The 18,891-nt window shown below is 39.3% G+C and overlaps 1 long non-coding RNA gene across 1 annotated transcript in view; it reads left to right on the forward strand.

Moving 5' to 3' along the window:
- SAMD12-AS1 (SAMD12 antisense RNA 1) overlaps positions 1-18,480 on the forward strand; it is a 105,067-nt gene extending 86,587 nt beyond the window's left edge. The window contains exons 4-5 of the long non-coding RNA NR_038210.1: positions 16,932-17,041; positions 18,349-18,480. This is a non-coding gene — a long non-coding RNA (SAMD12 antisense RNA 1). The remainder of the gene's footprint in view (positions 1-16,931; positions 17,042-18,348) is intronic.
- Positions 18,481-18,891: the final 411 nt, after the last annotated feature.

The following is an 18,891-nucleotide window of genomic DNA, read 5'->3' on the forward strand; positions in this document are numbered from 1 at the left end:
TCCCTAAATTCTTTAATGTTTTCTTAGTAATTTTTGGCTCCAAAATCCCTACTTGGTGGATAAGGTAAAACAAATTTCAGTAAGCAAACTTCACAGGGGGGTGGAAGAGGCATCATAAGTACACCACATGCTCATTCTTCTTAATTGCCAGATCTTCCATCTGTTGGTCTGAGATAATATTGATAAAGGAATTAAAGATGCCACACCATCTCCTGAATCAAATGAGAACAGTCGTTCTTAAGTTACAGAATATGACATTTTAATGCTTTGCAACATGAAGAGGAAAGAGCATTTAGTTTATTTTCATGTGGCTAATTTGAAGCTAGATTAGATCATCTAGTTAACTCATAGGTTCTTAACTTTTAAGGCCAAATATTGTGTAGCATCTCATTTTCACAGTGGCGGTTGTTACTGTTAATAATTGAATCAACTAGGAAGTTAACCTTGAATACCAAACACAAAATCTCTAAACCAAAAGCTAGAAGTAACACAATTTGGGGAATAGAGCCATGCTTAAATAAGAGGCAGCATTGTGTTGCCTCAAAATAGGCATAGCTTTGATGCTTGAATATTTTAATATATTTTTCTATATGGATAATGTTGTTCTCTTAAAATCTTGTTACTTTCTCATATTATGGAGCAGAAAGAATGGTGGAAAATCTCAAAAACAAATAAAGCAACGCTCGTAGTCAGTACTTGAATACTGACTCAAGTACTCTGAATCTCAAGACAGGACCCAGTGACATTTTGGAATTGGATGGATCTAGCTTGTCTAGACCAAGAGGTGGGTCTGGCTTGTCTCTGGTGGTTCTAGCTAAGAAGGGAATTCTTTGAACCACTCAATCAGATTTAGAATTGGTATTAAGCAATAATAAGCTACTGTAGTTTGCCACTATAATTCAGACTATATGACCAGAAATGAAATGGGGCAAATAAATTACATCAGTGGCTTACAATTTTAAGACTTCTGAAGATTTTAGTATTAAAAGCCTGGGGTAGTAAGATGTGAATTACAATTTTCTTTTTATGTAACCATGGAAACACCTGAAAAATACACAGCCTCTGAATGGACATTTGATTTGAAATTTATACAATACCACAATTCTGTTTACCAAACTCAAGTTTCAGTTCAAACTCAGATATTGGCAGATAGCCTTCAGAAGGTCACCAGGCCACTCAGAAGTCTGAGGGTTTCATACTTTGGTTAATTTTCACCCCCTCCATCCCTTGCCCATCAGCACCCTTAATCTTACTTTAGCGTTATCTGTTTTTCTTTGACTAACATTGTAAAGAGTATCATTTAACTGAGTTCAGACTAATTGGGAATGAATATGCAACACATTTTAGTCCAACTTGATTATCCTGTAGGTATCCTAGGAAGATTGTTCTTGAATCTGTGCGTTTCCTGCATGCTAGTTTCATGTATCTTTTAATGACATCTTGATTACTGCCATTATTATTTTATGTTTATAAAATGCCCTGAAATATGTCTTTAGCTCATCTCCAGTTCTTTATAGTTTAAAAAGCCCGACTATCTTCTTTAACAACCTCTTCAGTTTCAAGCCCAATCATTTGAAGAGATCTACCTTTCACAAATTGGAAAAATAAGATTTTGAAGTAGTGTTTACAGCCCATGTAGACTAGAACAAGAATAGTTAAAAAGGTAAGCATGAGAGGCCTTTTCAGCTGAGTAGCACCAGTTTGAAAGTGAACATCAGTATTTCTACTTAAAGTATGTTAGGTTGTGTAGGTTATATGGCTTTGGGAACAGGGGAAAGGTTTTGAAAAGATAAATCAGAGGAGATTATACGGGAAGACTTTTATTCTGCAGAAAAAAAAGTATCTGAGTATTATATTTTTTCCCCAGAAACTTCTTTCTTGCTAAAGACTATGGAATCAAAATCCACAGCAACTCCCAGCATGTTAAGAGAAGAGACCAGAATTTCAGTGACATTTTAGGATTAGGATAGATTAATGTCATCTCTGTGTCCCAAGAGTCACAACATATTGATAAAACGGTGATCAGGATGCCGTTATAAAATGACATCCTGTGTAAGTCAGTGTGGCTACTCACAGAAGATCCCCAACATGGATTGGTGAGTCCACTGGAAAAAGGAAAACAGTGTACTTTGTGGCTGGTGGTTCTGTAGTCAAAGGCATAGTTTCCTGGACAAACATGAAGCCTAAACTGTATTCACAAGGAAAAATGGCAAAAGAGAAAGCCCAGATTTAAAAGGTAGAAGGGAATTGATTGACACAAGAGAAGGATATTCAAGTGCAAGTAGAATGAAAGAAACTTCGCTGAGTTGAGATCAATGAATTTCAAAGAAGGTTAGATGAAAAAGTGTGCAGTGGTTTGGATTATAAAGAGCAAAAATGGCCTTCACTTGGCAAAAACACAAGAAAGATAGTAGAAAGGGCCAGGTTTGGGGAGGAAAATTGTGTTTGTCCTAACAAGAGTCAACAAAACCAGGGGAAGACAGACAAACAGCAATAAACCCGGTCTTAGAGAAAATCCTCCCAGTAAGATCACAAGAACAGTGAAGACCAGGGTAGAGGTTTATAGACTGAAGGGAAATACTTATGTCTGGCAGTGAGAGATTAAACAAGAACATATCCCAAGGGAAGGGCATGGTGCAATGAATCTGTAAAATACCTGACTTACAAGTATAAGCCTTTGTCCTATGTCTGACCCACAGGTAGCTTCTATTTGTTCTGCTCTGTATTTAAAAATGTATTAATTAGGTGGTGAGATTTTAAAACCAAAAATATTTCACATAGGTCAAGATTTCTGGCACCTGAAAAAGAAGGATTTGGGAAATCCATTGCAAATTTCTACATAGCAACAAGTACATGGAACTGAGTGGCAGCTGCTGTCTTTAGATAGAACACACCCTTCATCAATTCACCAAATAAATGCCCCGTCTCAGGCCTGCTTCACTCCCTTACCTTAGCCACTTGGCTTCTTAGCCATTTGAGTTGGTGAAGGACACTCTGGCTTGAGGTGACTGTAACAAAGTTTGTATATCATTTGTCTAGAATAATTTGTGTGTGTATGTGTGCGCATTCATTCTTTGATCATTTCACAAACATTTACCAAGCACCTACTATGTACTGAGCTGAATTCATTGGGAAAGCTAAAGATAGCAGTCCTAGGCTTTGCTTTCAAAGAGCATAGCCTCTGGAGGAACTATGCCACATGCACACCCATCACTTATGTACAAGGTGTAACGTGACGTAAATGCAGACCTATGGGAACTTGGAGCAGGGCGACATCACTTTAATCTGAGGGAACTTCAAAGAAGGCTTTACTAAACAGGACACATTTTTTTTTTTTTTAATTAGTGGGTTTATTTTTAAATGCCATAGAGATTTCAGAACTTCATACAGGTAGTGGTTAATGCAGAAACATCTGATCCTGGGTAAACTCCACTGATAAAATTATGATATCCAGGCAAGACAATTCTTGATGGAATTGGTCAGAACTCTAGTTGCAGAGTGGTTCAGTTTACCTTGACTTCAGCAAACATATGTTTACACAGAAAGTAAATGTATCCAGGGTTGCTGAATGTCCTTTTATTTATTTATTTATTTTGAGATGGAGTCTCACTCTGTTGCCCAGGCTGGAGTGCAGTGGCATGATCTCAGCTCACTGCAACCTCCGCCTCCTGGGTTCAAGCAATTCTCCTGCTTCAGCCTCCCAAGTAGCTGGGAATATAGGCGTGCACACCACACCTGGCTAATTTTTGTATTTTTAGTAGAGACGGGGGGAGTTTCACCATGTTGGCCAGGCTGGTCTCGAACTCCTGACCTCAAGTGATGATTGCATCCTTTTAATATGCTGCTTTTTAAAATCTTGTTTAGGGTTCATTTACAACCTAGTGAGACAATATCACTTTGAGTGTGGAAACCTCTTTCCTGTTTAGATTGCGTTCTTTAACAGGGATGACAGTTGCTCATAAAATGCTCAACTGTTTTGCTTTGTTAATGGCAGCTAGGAAAAAAACCACAGGACCCACATTAGGTTTATTTCAAAGCTACACCAAGACTACTTCCTCTAGTCTTATTTAAGCTCAACTCTAACTCAATATTTTCTTTTGCTCTTCTCTGTTTTTGCACAATCAGGCATGGGTTTGTGAAACATGCCTCCCAGGGTAGGAGAGGTGATGTCTAGAATGCGAAATCCCAGATAATCCCACATCCTGTCACTATATTTTCAAATTATTTAGTAGTAACAGATCTGTTTTCCTGCTTTTATTTGACTTGGGGCAATTTAAAAATGATCATGCACTTCTGAAAATACCTGGGTTTAGGGAGGACAAGCAACAGCTCTACCCCCTCCTCCCCCCTTGCCTGTGGCAGAGTTTAGGTACTGAACCTAGACACAGTGTCAGACCCTTCAGAACATGGCACTTTAGCAACCATCAGAGTGGCTACTTGAGTCTAGATAAAGATGCTGATCTTCCCTGCCCAGGTGATGCAGGGGAAAGGCAGCCAGAGAATGGATGGTTCCTCTGAGTAGGTTCATTTATTAAATCTACCATGTGCTGTGCATTGGCTGGGCGTTTCCCCCAAGTTCTCCCTTAATTCCTATCCATCTCTATGAGACAGTTTTATCATTCTCATTTTAAAGCTCATGAACTATCTGGATTCAAATCTAAGTCTGTCTGCCTCCAGGGTTGAGGACATTTTATTTTGTAAGGTAGAATCATCCACGTACAAGGCTGTCTCCCCACCAGATTATGAACAGCTATGGGGCACAGAAAAGCATTTATTCCATTCCTAGTAGGCATTAACAGAAAATCATGAATTGAAGGGAACCCCAAAGTCGCTTCTCCCCCTTTAATGTTCTTATTTCTGGTGGGGAGCTCCCTGCTCCATTTCAGCAGCAGTAGCACATTTCAGTTTTGTCATTTATTGAGAGCTGACTCCGAGGCAGGTGCTTAGATCTTGGCAACGAGATGAGGCACGGGGCAGGAGGGCAGTGACCTCTGTCTCCCCAGCGCCTCCTGCAGGGCTGACACACAGCAAGTCCTCAGTGCTTGTCTGTTACAAGGCTGAAAAAAGGAATGCTTCTCCGGTAGATGGCTCTCCCATTCCCATAGTGAGGGGATATTTGCAAGGAATTGCCCCTCTCCCTGTCTTCACTGCAGAAGACAGTCCTCCTTCTCTTTAAAAATGTGTATTTTTTTTTCTGATCCTAGAAGTAATATATGCTTATTATAGAATTATCGAACATTTTGGAGAAATTTGAATTATGAAAAATTAAAGAAATAAAAAATAGTCATACATTTAGTTTGCTGCTAGAAAATAACAAAGAATATCTATCTAAATGTAAGTACATGGAAGACATTCATGATATCCTTTTGAATGAAGAAAATAAAGTTTTAGCACACTAAATGTGTTCTAAATATGACTCAATTTTCCTAAAATAAATAAATGTAAATCCTCCTAGGAAAATATCAAAAAGAATGTATACCGATTCAATCTTGTGTTAAGTAAGTCAGTGATGAAGAGTGAAACATGTGAAGGGTTTTATTTTTGTTTTACATGTTCATAGATTGTTTTAATTTTAACTATTATGTTCTACTTTTTTAGTTACAAAATATTTTTTAAATTATAAATTTATAATTAAACAAAACAATAACCAGTGTTAATATTTTGTTATCTTCTGGCATTTCTTTTTAAAACATCTGTATCAAACCATAGGAAGCATTTGATTTTCATTTGTTTTGTTTTGTTTTTGAGACAGGGTTTTACTCTGACATCATGGCTGGAGTGCAGTGGCACTGAGTTTTGTTTCAATTTTTTTTACTTAATGTATCTTGAGAACTTTCACAAGTCATTAAAAGTTTATTAGAAATATTACTTTTAATTGCTTGGTGTTTCATCATTTGAGGATTCCATAATTTAGCTATCCCTCAGGTACAGAACATTCAAACTATTTCCATGTTTTCTCAATAATAAAAAATGCTTCCACAAATAGCCTTGGACAGAATTTGTATTCATCTCTATTTTGCTACATCATATTTCCACAAGCAGAATGGTTGAGTCAAAGAATATGAAGATGTGTGATACGCTGTGCTGTGGACCTTCATGGCTGGGCCTACCAAGCTTAGTGAACCCAGATTTGGTGTTACAGCAGACACACGGGATGAAGTACCTGCAGATTGTTCATTGTGATAAAATTCCCATAGCGCTGGGTGTGTGTGAGTTCCATCCCTTACTTCGTGATCTGGCCTTAGGCAGCAATGCTATCCTGGGGGAGAGGAAAAGGTCGCATCAAAAACCTAGAAATATGTCCTTCCTAGTAGCGTGGTTGAGTGTACACAGAGAAAGTCTCTTTGGCTCCTGCTCTCCATGATCTAGCAGGACATATTTTTGGCAATCTCATCATAATTAGGCTTCTGTTAGACTATACATTGTCCAATTTATTTGAGAAAGATTCAGAGTTTTATCAACATGGATTTGTCATGAAAAAACAGCTTTGCAGCTGGGCGCAGTGGCTCACGCCTGTAATCCCAGCACTTTGAGAAGCTGAGGGAAGTGGATCGCTTGAGGTCAGGAGCTTGAGACCATCCTGGCCAACATGGCAAAACCCCATCTCTACTAAAAATACAAAAAAAATTAGCCAGGCGTGGTGGTGTGTGCCTATAATCCCAGCTACTCGGGAGGCTGAGGCAGCAGAATCGCTTGAACCCAGGAAATGGAGATTGCAGTCAGCCCAGATTGCAACGCTGCACTCCAGCCTTGGTAACAGAGTAAGTGAGACTATGTTTCAAAAAAAAAAAGAAAAAAAAAAAAGGAAAAAAAGCAACTTTGCCATTTGATGAGAGTATTATTTATTATTTCCACATTTGGGTTCTTTATGAGGTAAAGTTTTGTTCATATGCTTATTGATAATTTGTATTTTTGAGAGTAGAGTATGTTATCTATTTTTTCACTGAAGGTTTTTCTTATTGCTTTATAAGAACTAATTGCCTAGGCGCGGTGGCTCACGCCTGTAATCCCAGCACTTTGGGAGACCGAGGAGGGCGGATCACAAGGTCAGGAGATCGAGACCATCCTGGCTAACACGGTGAAACCCCGTCTCTACTAAAAATACAAAAAATTAGCTGGGCATGGTGGCGGGTGCCTGTAGTCCCAGCTACTTGGGAGGCTGAGGAAGGAGAATGGCATGAACCCGGGAGGCGGAGCTTGCAATGAGCCGAGATTGCGCCACTGCAGTCCAGCCCAGGCGACAGTGCCAGACTCCGTCTTAAAACAAACAAACAAACAAACAAAAAAAAAAATACCAAAAGAAACTAAGTATACAGATGCTTATCTTTTGTCTATCTTAAATATTGCAAATATTTGCTCTGTTGTTTATTTGCCTATTCATTTTATTTATAATGTTTCATGGTATATAAAAATTTAAATTTCATGTAACAAATTCTGTTAACATTTTCCTTTGCACTTTCTGCTTTTATGCTTATAAAGGCTTTCTGTAATGATATCCACTAAATAATCAATTATCTCTGGGTCTTATTTATTTTTTTACATTTTACACTTTAATCCATTTGGATTTCATTCTGATGTATGCGTGACGCATGTATCTGACTTGATATATTTTTCCCAAAATAATTCAGCTTCTCACTTCCAGCCCCCTACTCTCCATTGCCCTTAGAGTTGCATCAGAAATGGAGATAATTCATTAAAAAGGAAGAAGTAATCAAGGAAGACCACCTCTCCTAGGGCTCACCATGCTGGAGAAGGGGCATCCACCTTGCTTTTGTCATTCAAAGAGGCACTGAAAACACACCATCGAGTTTCTGAAAGAAAAGCTTTTCGGGCTGCCTGGAGTTCTCATTAATTCTAGACCATAATAGTGGTACTTATCTCCTTTATGCTGCTGACTATTATTTTTCCTGGTATAGGATGTGATTTTTTTTCTTTTGTTTTAATTCCCATGTCACCCATGATACTCTTCAAAAGAGGTGGATGAAATTGACTTCCAGCTTCCCCTATGCCCTGGAATAGAAGCAATGCTTTCATGATAAATTACACAGAAAAAAAAAAGGCAGCTGGAGTTGCTTGTACCAAAATGAGAGTGGCTTTTGGCTCTGCTTCAGTGACTTTATTTCACATTTCTTTCTGAACTCTCAGAGAAAAGTGATAATGAGAGTTTAATCTCTAGACTTGTGCCATCAGCTTTTTATTTTCCTTGGAATGTTTTAAATCCTACAGGGCCTCAATTTCAGCCACTAGACACAGCACTTTCATGGTAGCTCTTCCCTGGGGTGGAAATAATCAGAGGGTAAAAATCCTAGGTTTGCCATATTTTTCAGCTGCAATCTGGTATATTTTTATTATTTTGAAAAGACTAGGGGCACACACACAAAAGCTTAGTGGGGAGTGAGATGAAGGATGGAAAGCAGCTATTCTACAGTTTGCTGGAACTCAGCTACTGTTGTGAGCTAATATTCAACACCCTTATGGATGCTGATACTCTGATCTTTCCACTTTTCTGAATTTTGCTCTCTTCTTTGCTATGTTGGCTTGGGATGTACATCATGGAGTATGTCATTAGACTTTATCCAAATTGTTTGTGTGTTGATGTTGAACCCATAAGAACTAAAAATTCCTTCATTGGAATCCTTCCTGTGGTAGGTAAAGCACAGTGTGGCTAGAGGGAGTGGTGGGTTCTAATAATAGTGCTTTTCTAACTTTTTTTAAAGCAGGAAAATTATTTTTTTGAAAGTCTTATGAAAATAACATTTATTTACTACATGACACTTGGGATACAGATGATACCATACTTATATATTTGTTTCAACAGATCAAATCTGGCTCCAGCCTCTCCCTGACAATATTAAAAAGATCCTCTGAGTCTTTTATGTCTGGCAAGGCATGGGTCATTAGTGCACAATAATTCCTGTGGCCCTGGCTCCCCACCATGGTTTCATGATCCATCAAGACAAGATGGCTCCACTTTTCCATCTCTGCCACGAAGTGTCTTTGCTGAGGTTACCGAGGCTCTGTGCTTAACACCAAGTCCTTATAAGTGCCCATGTTGCCAGGCTTTTTGAGGACCGGCTTGTCTCAGAGAGATTCCATTTTGTGTAGGGCATTTAGCATCATTATCTTATTTAAGTTCGGGAGATTCACTCTTTCAGAAGCCTTGGAGCTTCCCTTCCTAATCGTCAGGGTGCACCATCTCCATATTTCTCCTCTTTAGGTCATTCAACTTACTTTCATCATGTGCTAGAGCTTTGAACTTTAAGTGTCTCTTTAGGAGTTATCATTAGGGAATTCTTCTGCTCCTGGCTGTTGAAGAGGTGGGTGGAGGAAGCAACAGTGCAAGCTCTTTTGACTCTGCAACCTGGAATGTAGACCTAAGGATTAGGGCCCGTCACTCTTTTGAGGTGTGGGGGTGATACATTTTTTGTTCTTTCATAGGAGATTATCTAAGAGAAAAGAAAGTACCATTCTTTAATCTTTTAATAAGCAGTCTTATTACATTAAATTTTCAGCAAATCACCATGATATATGTGGCCTATTGATATGCGAAATAGACAGAATTGGAGATGATGTGATGGATGTGGATGGTGGCAAGAAGCCCTCCTCAAACCCAGCATCCCCCTAACGTTCGATGGCTCCTCAACTACCTTGAGGGGTCCTGGTGGGGAGGAAGCAGTTGTGGTATCTATAGATCTCAATCTAGAAACCATTTAAAATTGGTATTTCTGATAACATCTCTTCATATCCACACATATTTATTATGACAGTTTGACCTAAGAATGTAAACATGTTCCAAAATGTTCCTAAAGAGGAACAGCTCCAATACCAAGCTGGCCAACTTTGGTGCCCTCTGTAACAGAACTGTGGAATATTTGAGAGAAGATTCCTATGAGGCATCCACTTTCTAAATAACATTCTCAAAGAATAAGGAAGTCCTCTTAGGCATTTTAGTTTTTCTTAACAGAAACACATCATTTCTATGATGTTCTTACTTTCCACCAGGCTGAGTTTATGTAAAATAACTGAAATTGAAAGAGAATGCTTACTATGTGCCAGGCACTTTTTCAAACACATCCCATATAGTATTTATTTATTTTTAGTCACAAATACTTAAAAGTGCCAGAAATTTTGTATTATTATTATTATTATACTTTAAGTTTTAGGGTACATGTGCACAATGTGCAGGTTAGTTACATATGTATACATGTGCCATGCTGGTGCACTGCACCCACTAACTCGTCATCTAGCATTAGGTATATCTCCCAATGCTATCCCTCCCCTCTCCCCGCACCCCACAACAGTCTTCAGAGTGTGATGTTCCCCTTCCTGTGTCCATGTGTTCTCATTGTTCAATTCCCACCTATGAGTGAGAATATGTGGTGTTTGGTTTTTGTTCTTGCGATAGTTTACTGAGAATGATGATTTCCAATTTCATCCATGTCCCTACAAAGGACATGAACTCATCATTTTTTATGGCTGCATAGTATTCCATGGTGTATATGTGCCACATTTTCTTAATCCAGTCTATCATTGTTGGATATTTGGGTTGGTTCCAAGTCTTTGCTATTGTGAATAGTGCCACAATAAACATACGTGTTCATGTGTCTTTATAGTAGCATGATTTATAGTCCTTTGGGTATATACCCAGTAATGGGATGGCTGGGTCAAATGGTATTTCTAGTTCTAGATCCCTGAGGAATCGCCACACTGACTTCCACAATGAACTAGTTTACAGTCCCACCAACAGTGTAAAAGTGTTCCTATTTCTCCACATCCTCTCCAGCACCTGTTGTTTCCTGACTTTTTAATGATTGCCATTCTAACGGGTGTGAGATGATATCTCATTGTGGTTTTGATTTGCATTTCTCTGATGGCCAGAGATGGTGAGCATTTTTTCATGTGTTTTTTGGCTGCATAAATGTCTTCTTTTGAGAAGTGTCTGTTCATGTCCTTCACCCACTTTTTGATGAGGTTGTTTGTTTTTTTCTTGTAAATTTGTTTGAGTTCATTGTAGATTCTGGATATTAGCCCTTTGTCAGATGAGTAGGTTGCAAAAATTTTCTCCCATTTTGTAGGTTGCCTGTTCACTCTGATGGTAATTTCTTTTGCTGTGCAGAAGCTCTTTAGTTTAATTAGATCCCATTTGTCAATTTTGGCTTCTGTTGCCATTGCTTTTGGTGTTTTAGACATGAAGTACTTGCCCATGCCTATGTCCTGAATGGTAATGCCTAGGTTTTCTTCTAGGGTTTTTATGGTTTTAGGTCTAACGTTTAAGTCTTTAATCCATCTTGAATTAATTTTTGTATAAGGTATAAGGAAGGGATCCATTTTCAGCGTTCTACATATGGCTAGCCAGTTTTCTCAGCACCATTTATTAAATAGGGAATCCTTTCCCCATTGCTTGTATTTCTCAGGTTTGTCAAAGATCAGATAGTTGTAGATATGCGGCATCATTTCTGAGGGCTGTGTTCTGTTCCATTGATCTATATCTCTGTTTTGGTACCAGTACCATGCTGTTTTGGTTACTGTAGCCTTGTAGTATAGTTTGAAGTCAGGTAGTGTGATTCCTCCAGCTTTGTTCTTTTGGCTTAGGATTGACTTGGCAATGCGGGCTCTTTCTTGGTTCCATATGAATTTTAAAGTAGTTTTTTCCAATTCTGTGAAGAAAGTCATTGGTAGTCTGATGGGAATGGCATTGAATCTATAAATTACCTTGGGCAGTATGGCCATTTTCACGATATTGATTCTTCCTACCCATGAGCATGGAATGTTCTTCCATTTGTTTGTATCCTCTTTTATTTCATTGAGCAGTGGTTTGTAGTTCTCCTTGCAGAGGTCCTTCACATCCCTTGTAAGTTGGATTCCTAGGTATTTTATTCTCTTTGAAGCAATTGTGAATGGGAGTTCACTCATGATTTGGCTCTCTGTTTGTCTGTTGTTGGTGTATAAGAATGCTTGTGATTTTTGTACATTGATTTTGTATCCTGAGACTTTGCTGAAGTTGCTTATCAGCTTAAGGAGATTTTGGGCTGAGACAATGGGGTTTTCTAGATATACAATCATGTCATCAGCAAACAGGGACAATTTGACTTCCTCTTTTCCTAATTGAATACCCTTTATTTCCTTCTCCTGCCTAATTGCCCTGGCCAGTACTTCCAACACTGTGTTGAATAGGAATGGTGAGAGAGGGCATCCCTGTCTTGTGCCAGTTTTCAAAGGGAATGCTTCCAGTTTTTGCCCATTCAGTATGATATTGGCTGTGGGTTTGTCATAGATAGCTCTTATTATTTTGAAATACGTCCCATCAATACCTAATTTATTGAGAGTTTTTAGCATGAAGCGTTGTTGAATTTTGTCAAAGGCCTTTTCTGCATCTATTGAGATAACTATGTGGTTTTTGTCTTTGGTTCTGTTTATATTCTGGATTACATTTATTGATTTGCGTCTATTGAACCAGCCTTGCATCCCAGGGATGAAGCCCACTTGATCATGGTGGATAAGCTTTTTGATGTGCTGCTGGATTCGTTTTGCCAGTATTTTATTGAGGATTTTTGCATCAATGTTCATCAAGGATATTGGTCTAAAATTCTCTTTTTTTGTTGTGTCTCTGCCCAGCTTTGGTATCAGGATGGTGCTGGCCTCATAAAATGAGTTAGGGAGGATTCCCTCTTTTTCTATTGATTGGAATAGTTTCAGAAGGAATGGTACCAGTTCCTCCTTGTACCTCTGGTAGAATTCGGCTGTGAATCCATCTGGTCCTGGACTCTTTTTGGTTGGTAAGCTATTGATAATTGCCACAATTTCAGATCCTGTTATTGGTCTATTCAGAGATTCAACTTCTTCCTGGTTTAGTCTTGGGAGAGTGTATGTGTCCAGGAATTTATCCATTTCTTCTAGATTTTCTAGTTTATTTGCGTAGAGGTATTTGTGGTATTCTCTGATGGTAGTTTGTATTTCTGTGGGATCGGTGGTGATATCCCCTCTATCATTTTTTATTGCATCTATTTGATTCTTCTCTCTTTTTTTCTTCATTAGTCTTGCTAGCAGTCTATCAATTTTGTTGATCCTTTCAAAAATCCAGCTCCTGGGTTCATTAATTTTTTGAAGGGTTTTTTGTGTCTCTATTTCCTTCAGTTCTGCTCTGATTTTAGTTATTTCTTGCCTTCTGCTAGCTTTTGAATGTGTTTGCTCTTGCTTTTCTAGTTCTTTTAATTGTGATGTTAGGGTGTCAATTTTGGATCTTTCCTGCTTTCTCTTGTGGGCATTTAGTGCTATAAATTTCCCTCTACATACTGCTTTGAATGCGTCCCAGAGATTCTGGAATGTTGTGTGTTTGTTCTCGTTGGTTTCAAAGAACATCTTTATTTCTGCCTTCATTTTGTTATGTACCCAGTAGTCATTCAGGAGCAGGTTGTTGAGTTTCCATGTAATTGAGCAGTTTTGAGTGAGATTCTTAATCCTGAGTTGTAGTTTGATTGCACTGTGGTCTGAGAGATAGTTTGTTATAATTTCTGTTCTTTTACATTTGCTGAGGAGAGCTTTACTTCCAACTATGTGGTCGATTTTGGAATAGGTGTGGTGTGGTGCTGAAAAAAATGTATATTCTGTTGATTTGGGGTAGAGAGTTCTGTAGATGTCTATTAGGTCTGCTTGGTGCAGAGCTGATCTCAATTCCTGGGTATCCTTGTTGACTTCCTGTCTCGTTGATCTGTGTAATGTTGACAGTGGGGTGTTAAAGTCTCCCATTATGAATGTGTGGGAGTCTAAGTCTCTTTGTAGGTCACTCAGGACTTGCTTTATGAATCTGGGTGCTCCTGTATTGGGTGCATATATATTTAGGATAGTTAGCTCTTCTTGTTGAATTGATCCCTTTACCATTATGTAATGGCCTACTTTGTCTCTTTTGATCTTTGTTGGTTTAAAGTCTGTTTTATCAGAGACTAGGATTTCAACCCCTGCCTTTTTTGGTTTTCCCTTTGCTTGGTAGATCTTCCTCCATCTTTTTATTTTGAGCCTATGTGTGTCTGCACGTGAGATGGGTTTCCTCAATACAGCACACTGATGAGTCTTGACTCTCTATCCAATTTGCCAGTCTGTGTCTTTTAATTGGAGCATTTAGTCCATTTACATTTAAAGTTAATATTGTTATGTGTGAATTTGATCCTGTCATTATGATGTTAGCTGGTTATTTTGCTCATTAGTTGATGCAGTTTCTTCCTAGTCTCGATGGTCTTTACATTTTGGCATGATTTTGCAGCAGCTGGTACCGGTTGTTCCTTTCCATGTTTAGCACTTCCTTCAGGAGCTCTTTTAGGGCAGGCCTGCTGGTGACAAAATCTCTCAGCATTTGCTTTTCTGTAAAGTATTTTATTTCTCCTTTACTTATGAAGCTTAGTTTAGCTGGATATGAAATTCTGGGTTGAAAATTCTTTTCTTTAAGAGTGTTGAATATTGGCCCCCACTCTCTTCTGGCTTGTAGAGTTTCTGCAGAGAGATCCGCTGTTAGTCTGATGGGCTTCCCTTTGTGGGTAACCCGACCTTTCTCTCTGGCTGCCCTTAACATTTTTTCCTTCATTTCAACTTTAGTGAATCTGACAATTATGTGTCTTGGAGTTGCTCTTCTCGAGGAGTATCTATGTGGCTTTCTCTGTATTTCCTGAATCTGAATGTTGGCCTGCCTTGCTAGATTGGGGAAGTTCTCCTGGATAATATCCTGCAGAGTGTTTTCCAACTTGGTTCCATTCTCCCCATCACTTTCAGGTACACCAATCAGTCGTAGATTTGGTCTTTTCACATAGTCCCATATTTCTTGGAGGGTTTGTTCATTTCTTTTTATTCTTTTTTCTCTAAACTTCCCTTCTCACTTCATTTCATTCATTTCATCTTCCATTGCTGATACCCTTTCTTCCAGTTGATCGCATCGGCTCCTGAGGCTTCTGCATTCTTCCCGTAGTTCTCAAGCCTTGGCTTTCAGCTCCATCAGCTCCTTTAAGCACTTCTCTGTATTGGTTATTCTAGTTATACATTCTTCTAATTTTTTTTCAAAGTTTTCAACTTCTTTGCCTTTGGTTTGAATGTCCTCCTGTAGCTCGGAATAATTTGATCATCTGAAGCCTTCTTCTCTCAGCTCGTCAAAGTCATTCTCCGTCCAGCTTTGTTCCGTTGCTGGTGAGAAACTGCGTTCCTTTGGAGGAGGAGAGGTGCTCTGCTTTTTAGAGTTTGAGTTTTTCTGCTCTGTTTTTTCCCCATCTTTGTGGTTTTATCTACTTTTGGTCTTTGATGATGGTGATGTACAGATGGGTTTTTGGTGTGGATGTCCTTTCTGTTTGTTAGTTTTCCTTCTAACAGACAGGACCCTCAGCTGCAGGTCTGTTGGAGTTTGCTAGAGGTCCACTCCAAACCCTGTTTGCCTGGGTATCAGCAGTGGTGTCTGCAGAACAGTGGTTTTTTGTGAACCGCGAATACTGCTGTCTGATATTTCCTCTGGAAGTTTTGTCTCAGAGGAGTACCTGGCCTTGTGAGGTGTCAGTTTGCCCCTACTTGGGGGGTGCCTCCCAGTTAGGCTGCTTGGGGCGTCAGGGGTCAGGGACCCACTTGAGGAGGCAGTCTGCCTGTTCTCAGATCTCCAGCTGCGTGCTGGGAGAACCACTGCTCTCTTCAAAGCTGTCAGACAGGGACATTTCAGTCTGCAGAGGTTACTGCTGTCTTTTTGTTTGTCTGTTCCGTGCCCCCAGAGGTGGAGCCTACAGAGGCAGGCAGGCCTCCTTGAGCTGTGGTGGGCTCCACCCAATTGGAGCTTCCCAGCTGCTTCATTTACCTAAGCAAGCCTGGGCAATGGTGGGCGCCCCTCCCCCAGCCTCGCTGCCACCTTGCAGTTTGATCTCAGACTGCTGTGCTAGCAATCAGCGAGACTCCGTGGGTGTAGGACCCTCCGAGCCAGGTGCGGTATATAATCTCCTGGTGCGTGGTTTTTTAAGCCCGTCAGAAAAGCGCAGTATTCGGTTGGGAGTGACCCGATTTTCCAGGTGCCCTCTGTCACCCCTTTCTTTGACTAGGAAAGGGAACTCCCTGACCCCTTGCACTTCCTGAGTGAGGCAATGCCTCGCTCAGCTTCGGCTCGCACACGGTGCGCCCACTGTCTGTCACTCCCTAGTGAGATGAACCCGGTACCTCAGATGGAAATGCAGAAATCACCCATCTTCTGTGCTGCTCATGCTGCGAGCTGTAGACCGGAGCTGTTCCTATTCGGCCATCTTGGCTCCTCCCACCAGAAATTTTTCTAAGTATTCAATGAATATTAACTCATGCACTCTTGCAAAAAACCTTCACATAGGTAATCTTTTTATCACCTCCATTTTCCAGGTGAGAAAATTAAGGCACAAAAAGTTAAAGAGAATTGTCCAGAGTCACATAGCTAACCAGTGGCAGGCTTCAGGTTTGCACAGTGATAGTCTGGTCCCAGAGTTAAGGTTCTTTACTTCTACATCTCTTACCCAATGACAATGAAGCTCATTTAATCATCCCTAGGAGGAAAGTAATATATCTCTATTTCGCAGATGATGACACTGAGGTCCAATGCATTTAAGTATTTGCTTGAAATCATACCACTGCTAAAAGGAAGAATATGAATTCACATTCAGTTATTCAGGGTCAAAAGCCTGTCTTAATAGCAGCGATTGAATCTTTAAGGGACACATTTGCCAATGTCACACCGCTGCTAAAGGCAGAGCCTAAAAGCACGCTTGGATCTGTCACCCAAATCAGTGTGTTTATACTTCAATGAATAGACAATAAATTATGAGTTTAAATGTTTTGGGGAATTGCTTAAAATATTTCCCATTTATATGTAATAAAATAACAACTAACAAAAGCTAGAATTTACTATGTTCTATTATTGCTATTAATGTATGTGTACTTTCTAATTTATTAAGATAATACACAGGCATCTCATGAAAATCATCCAACATATAGAAGAATATATAGAATAAAGCAAAAATCATCAGAAACTCCACCGTCTTGGATGACCATAGTTGATATTCTGGTGAGTATTTTTACATTTACTTTCTCTACACATTTAATGCATGTACCATATATGCAATCATACAATTTTAGGAAAATGGAATCTTACTATAGATATTATTTGTAACTTGCTTTTATCCATTCATTGCTTCATTCAAAATACTTATTCACAGCTTAACGTTTATCAAATGATATGCTTGAAACAATATGTTGTGTTCACTTTTCTATTTCAATGAACAGAAATATCAATCTTTTCATGGGTAATAATCTGCAGTAGTCAGGATAGGCAAGGTTATTCTGTAGTAACAAATTAACCCTTTCAACTCAGTGGCTTAATGAAAAAAGAATTACTTCTTGCTTACACAGTTGGCTGTGGGTCCGGTGTTCCTAAATGGTGACTCTCAGATCCATGCCTCTTCCATCTTATGGTTCTCATCTTGGTGAGGGACTTCTGGTCACTGCAGCAGGGGAAAAGTGCTGGAACATTACACAAAGGCGTTCCACGGCCTTGGTCTAAAAGTCAACCTGAAACACTTTGTTCCTGGTCCTCTGACCAGAAGTAGTCACATGGTGCCATCTAACTTCAGGAAGCCTGGGATATATAATCTTCTGTGTGCCTCAGGGAAGGCGAAGAGAACCAGAAATTGGTAATGTCTCCCACCTGAGAATTCTTCTGTGGAATGTTTCATTTATTTAGCTAATTTTCTCTGGATTCATAGTTACTATTGTTTCTGTTTTATGAACAACACTGTGATGAACATCCTTCCACATGTATTACATACTCTCATCCATTAATTTCTCAGTTTAAATTCCTGGAGAAGAAATCAATAAGTCAAAAGTATATTTAAAATATTAATATAGGTTCTGGACCTAGACTGCTCATCCCTGCTCTTCTCCCATGTAACACAGGGGCTTAAAGCCCAGAAAGTATGTTTCTCAGACTCCTTTGGGTTAAAGTTCAGTTTAGAATCTGTTAATGAGAGGCACTCCTGTGAGATGGAGAAGGAAAAGCTATTATTCTCTGGGAACAACTTAGGGCTGACACATGGGGCAACTCAAACATGAAGTTTTCCAATTGCATCTGGGCATCCTCATGAGAACTATACACATCAGCACTACCATCAGTGAGGTCATCTGTGTCTCCAGGTGCTCTCTGGAGAATCACCTATTTCAGTATTGCAGGGAGCTAAGATATAACTGGTGACCGCCTTGTAATCTTGCACTGCTGGATTTCTTGAAAGGAGCCTTCCCAATCTACATTCCTCCAGACTCCCAGCTGTTGTGTAAACCTCAGTGTAAATACTCAATATCATTCCTCTTCTTTCCTAGAATGGCTTCTGTTCCGATTGAACCTTGACTGATGTAGCACCTATCACCAAATTGCTGTTCAGGAAATATGTCCTAAAGAAACTCCCAACAGCAGCAATACATCAGAGTGGCACCTCTTTACACTGGTTCTTGGTAGGTACTGTCAATATTTTTCAACTTTGGCAAAGTAATACTCAAAACAAAAAAAAATTAGTAGTGGTTTATATTTGCATTTCTTGAGTTCAAAATATTTATTATATTTTACTAGTTGTTTTTTCTTCTTTTGTAAATTGTATATTGATGTCTTTGATTATCATGCCTCCTCTTTTGACTAACAAACTTTCCTAAATACTCTCCTCTTCGGTACTACTTTTATTTGGCACTAGTTTGCCCCTCTTATATTCCAAGGGTAATCATTTGTTTCAGTATATTAGGTCTGGGGAAGAAAGATCATTTGCATGTGAACAAATGACTAAGTCACCAAGTGGGAGACTGCAGCCTGTTAGGGTAATTCCTTCTCTCTGCACCAAAGAGGACAAACACTTTTAAGTATGAAAAGCATGT

This window comes from Homo sapiens, chromosome 8 (genome assembly GCF_000001405.40).
Source record: "Homo sapiens chromosome 8, GRCh38.p14 Primary Assembly".
NCBI classification, from domain to species: Eukaryota; Metazoa; Chordata; class Mammalia; order Primates; family Hominidae; genus Homo; species Homo sapiens.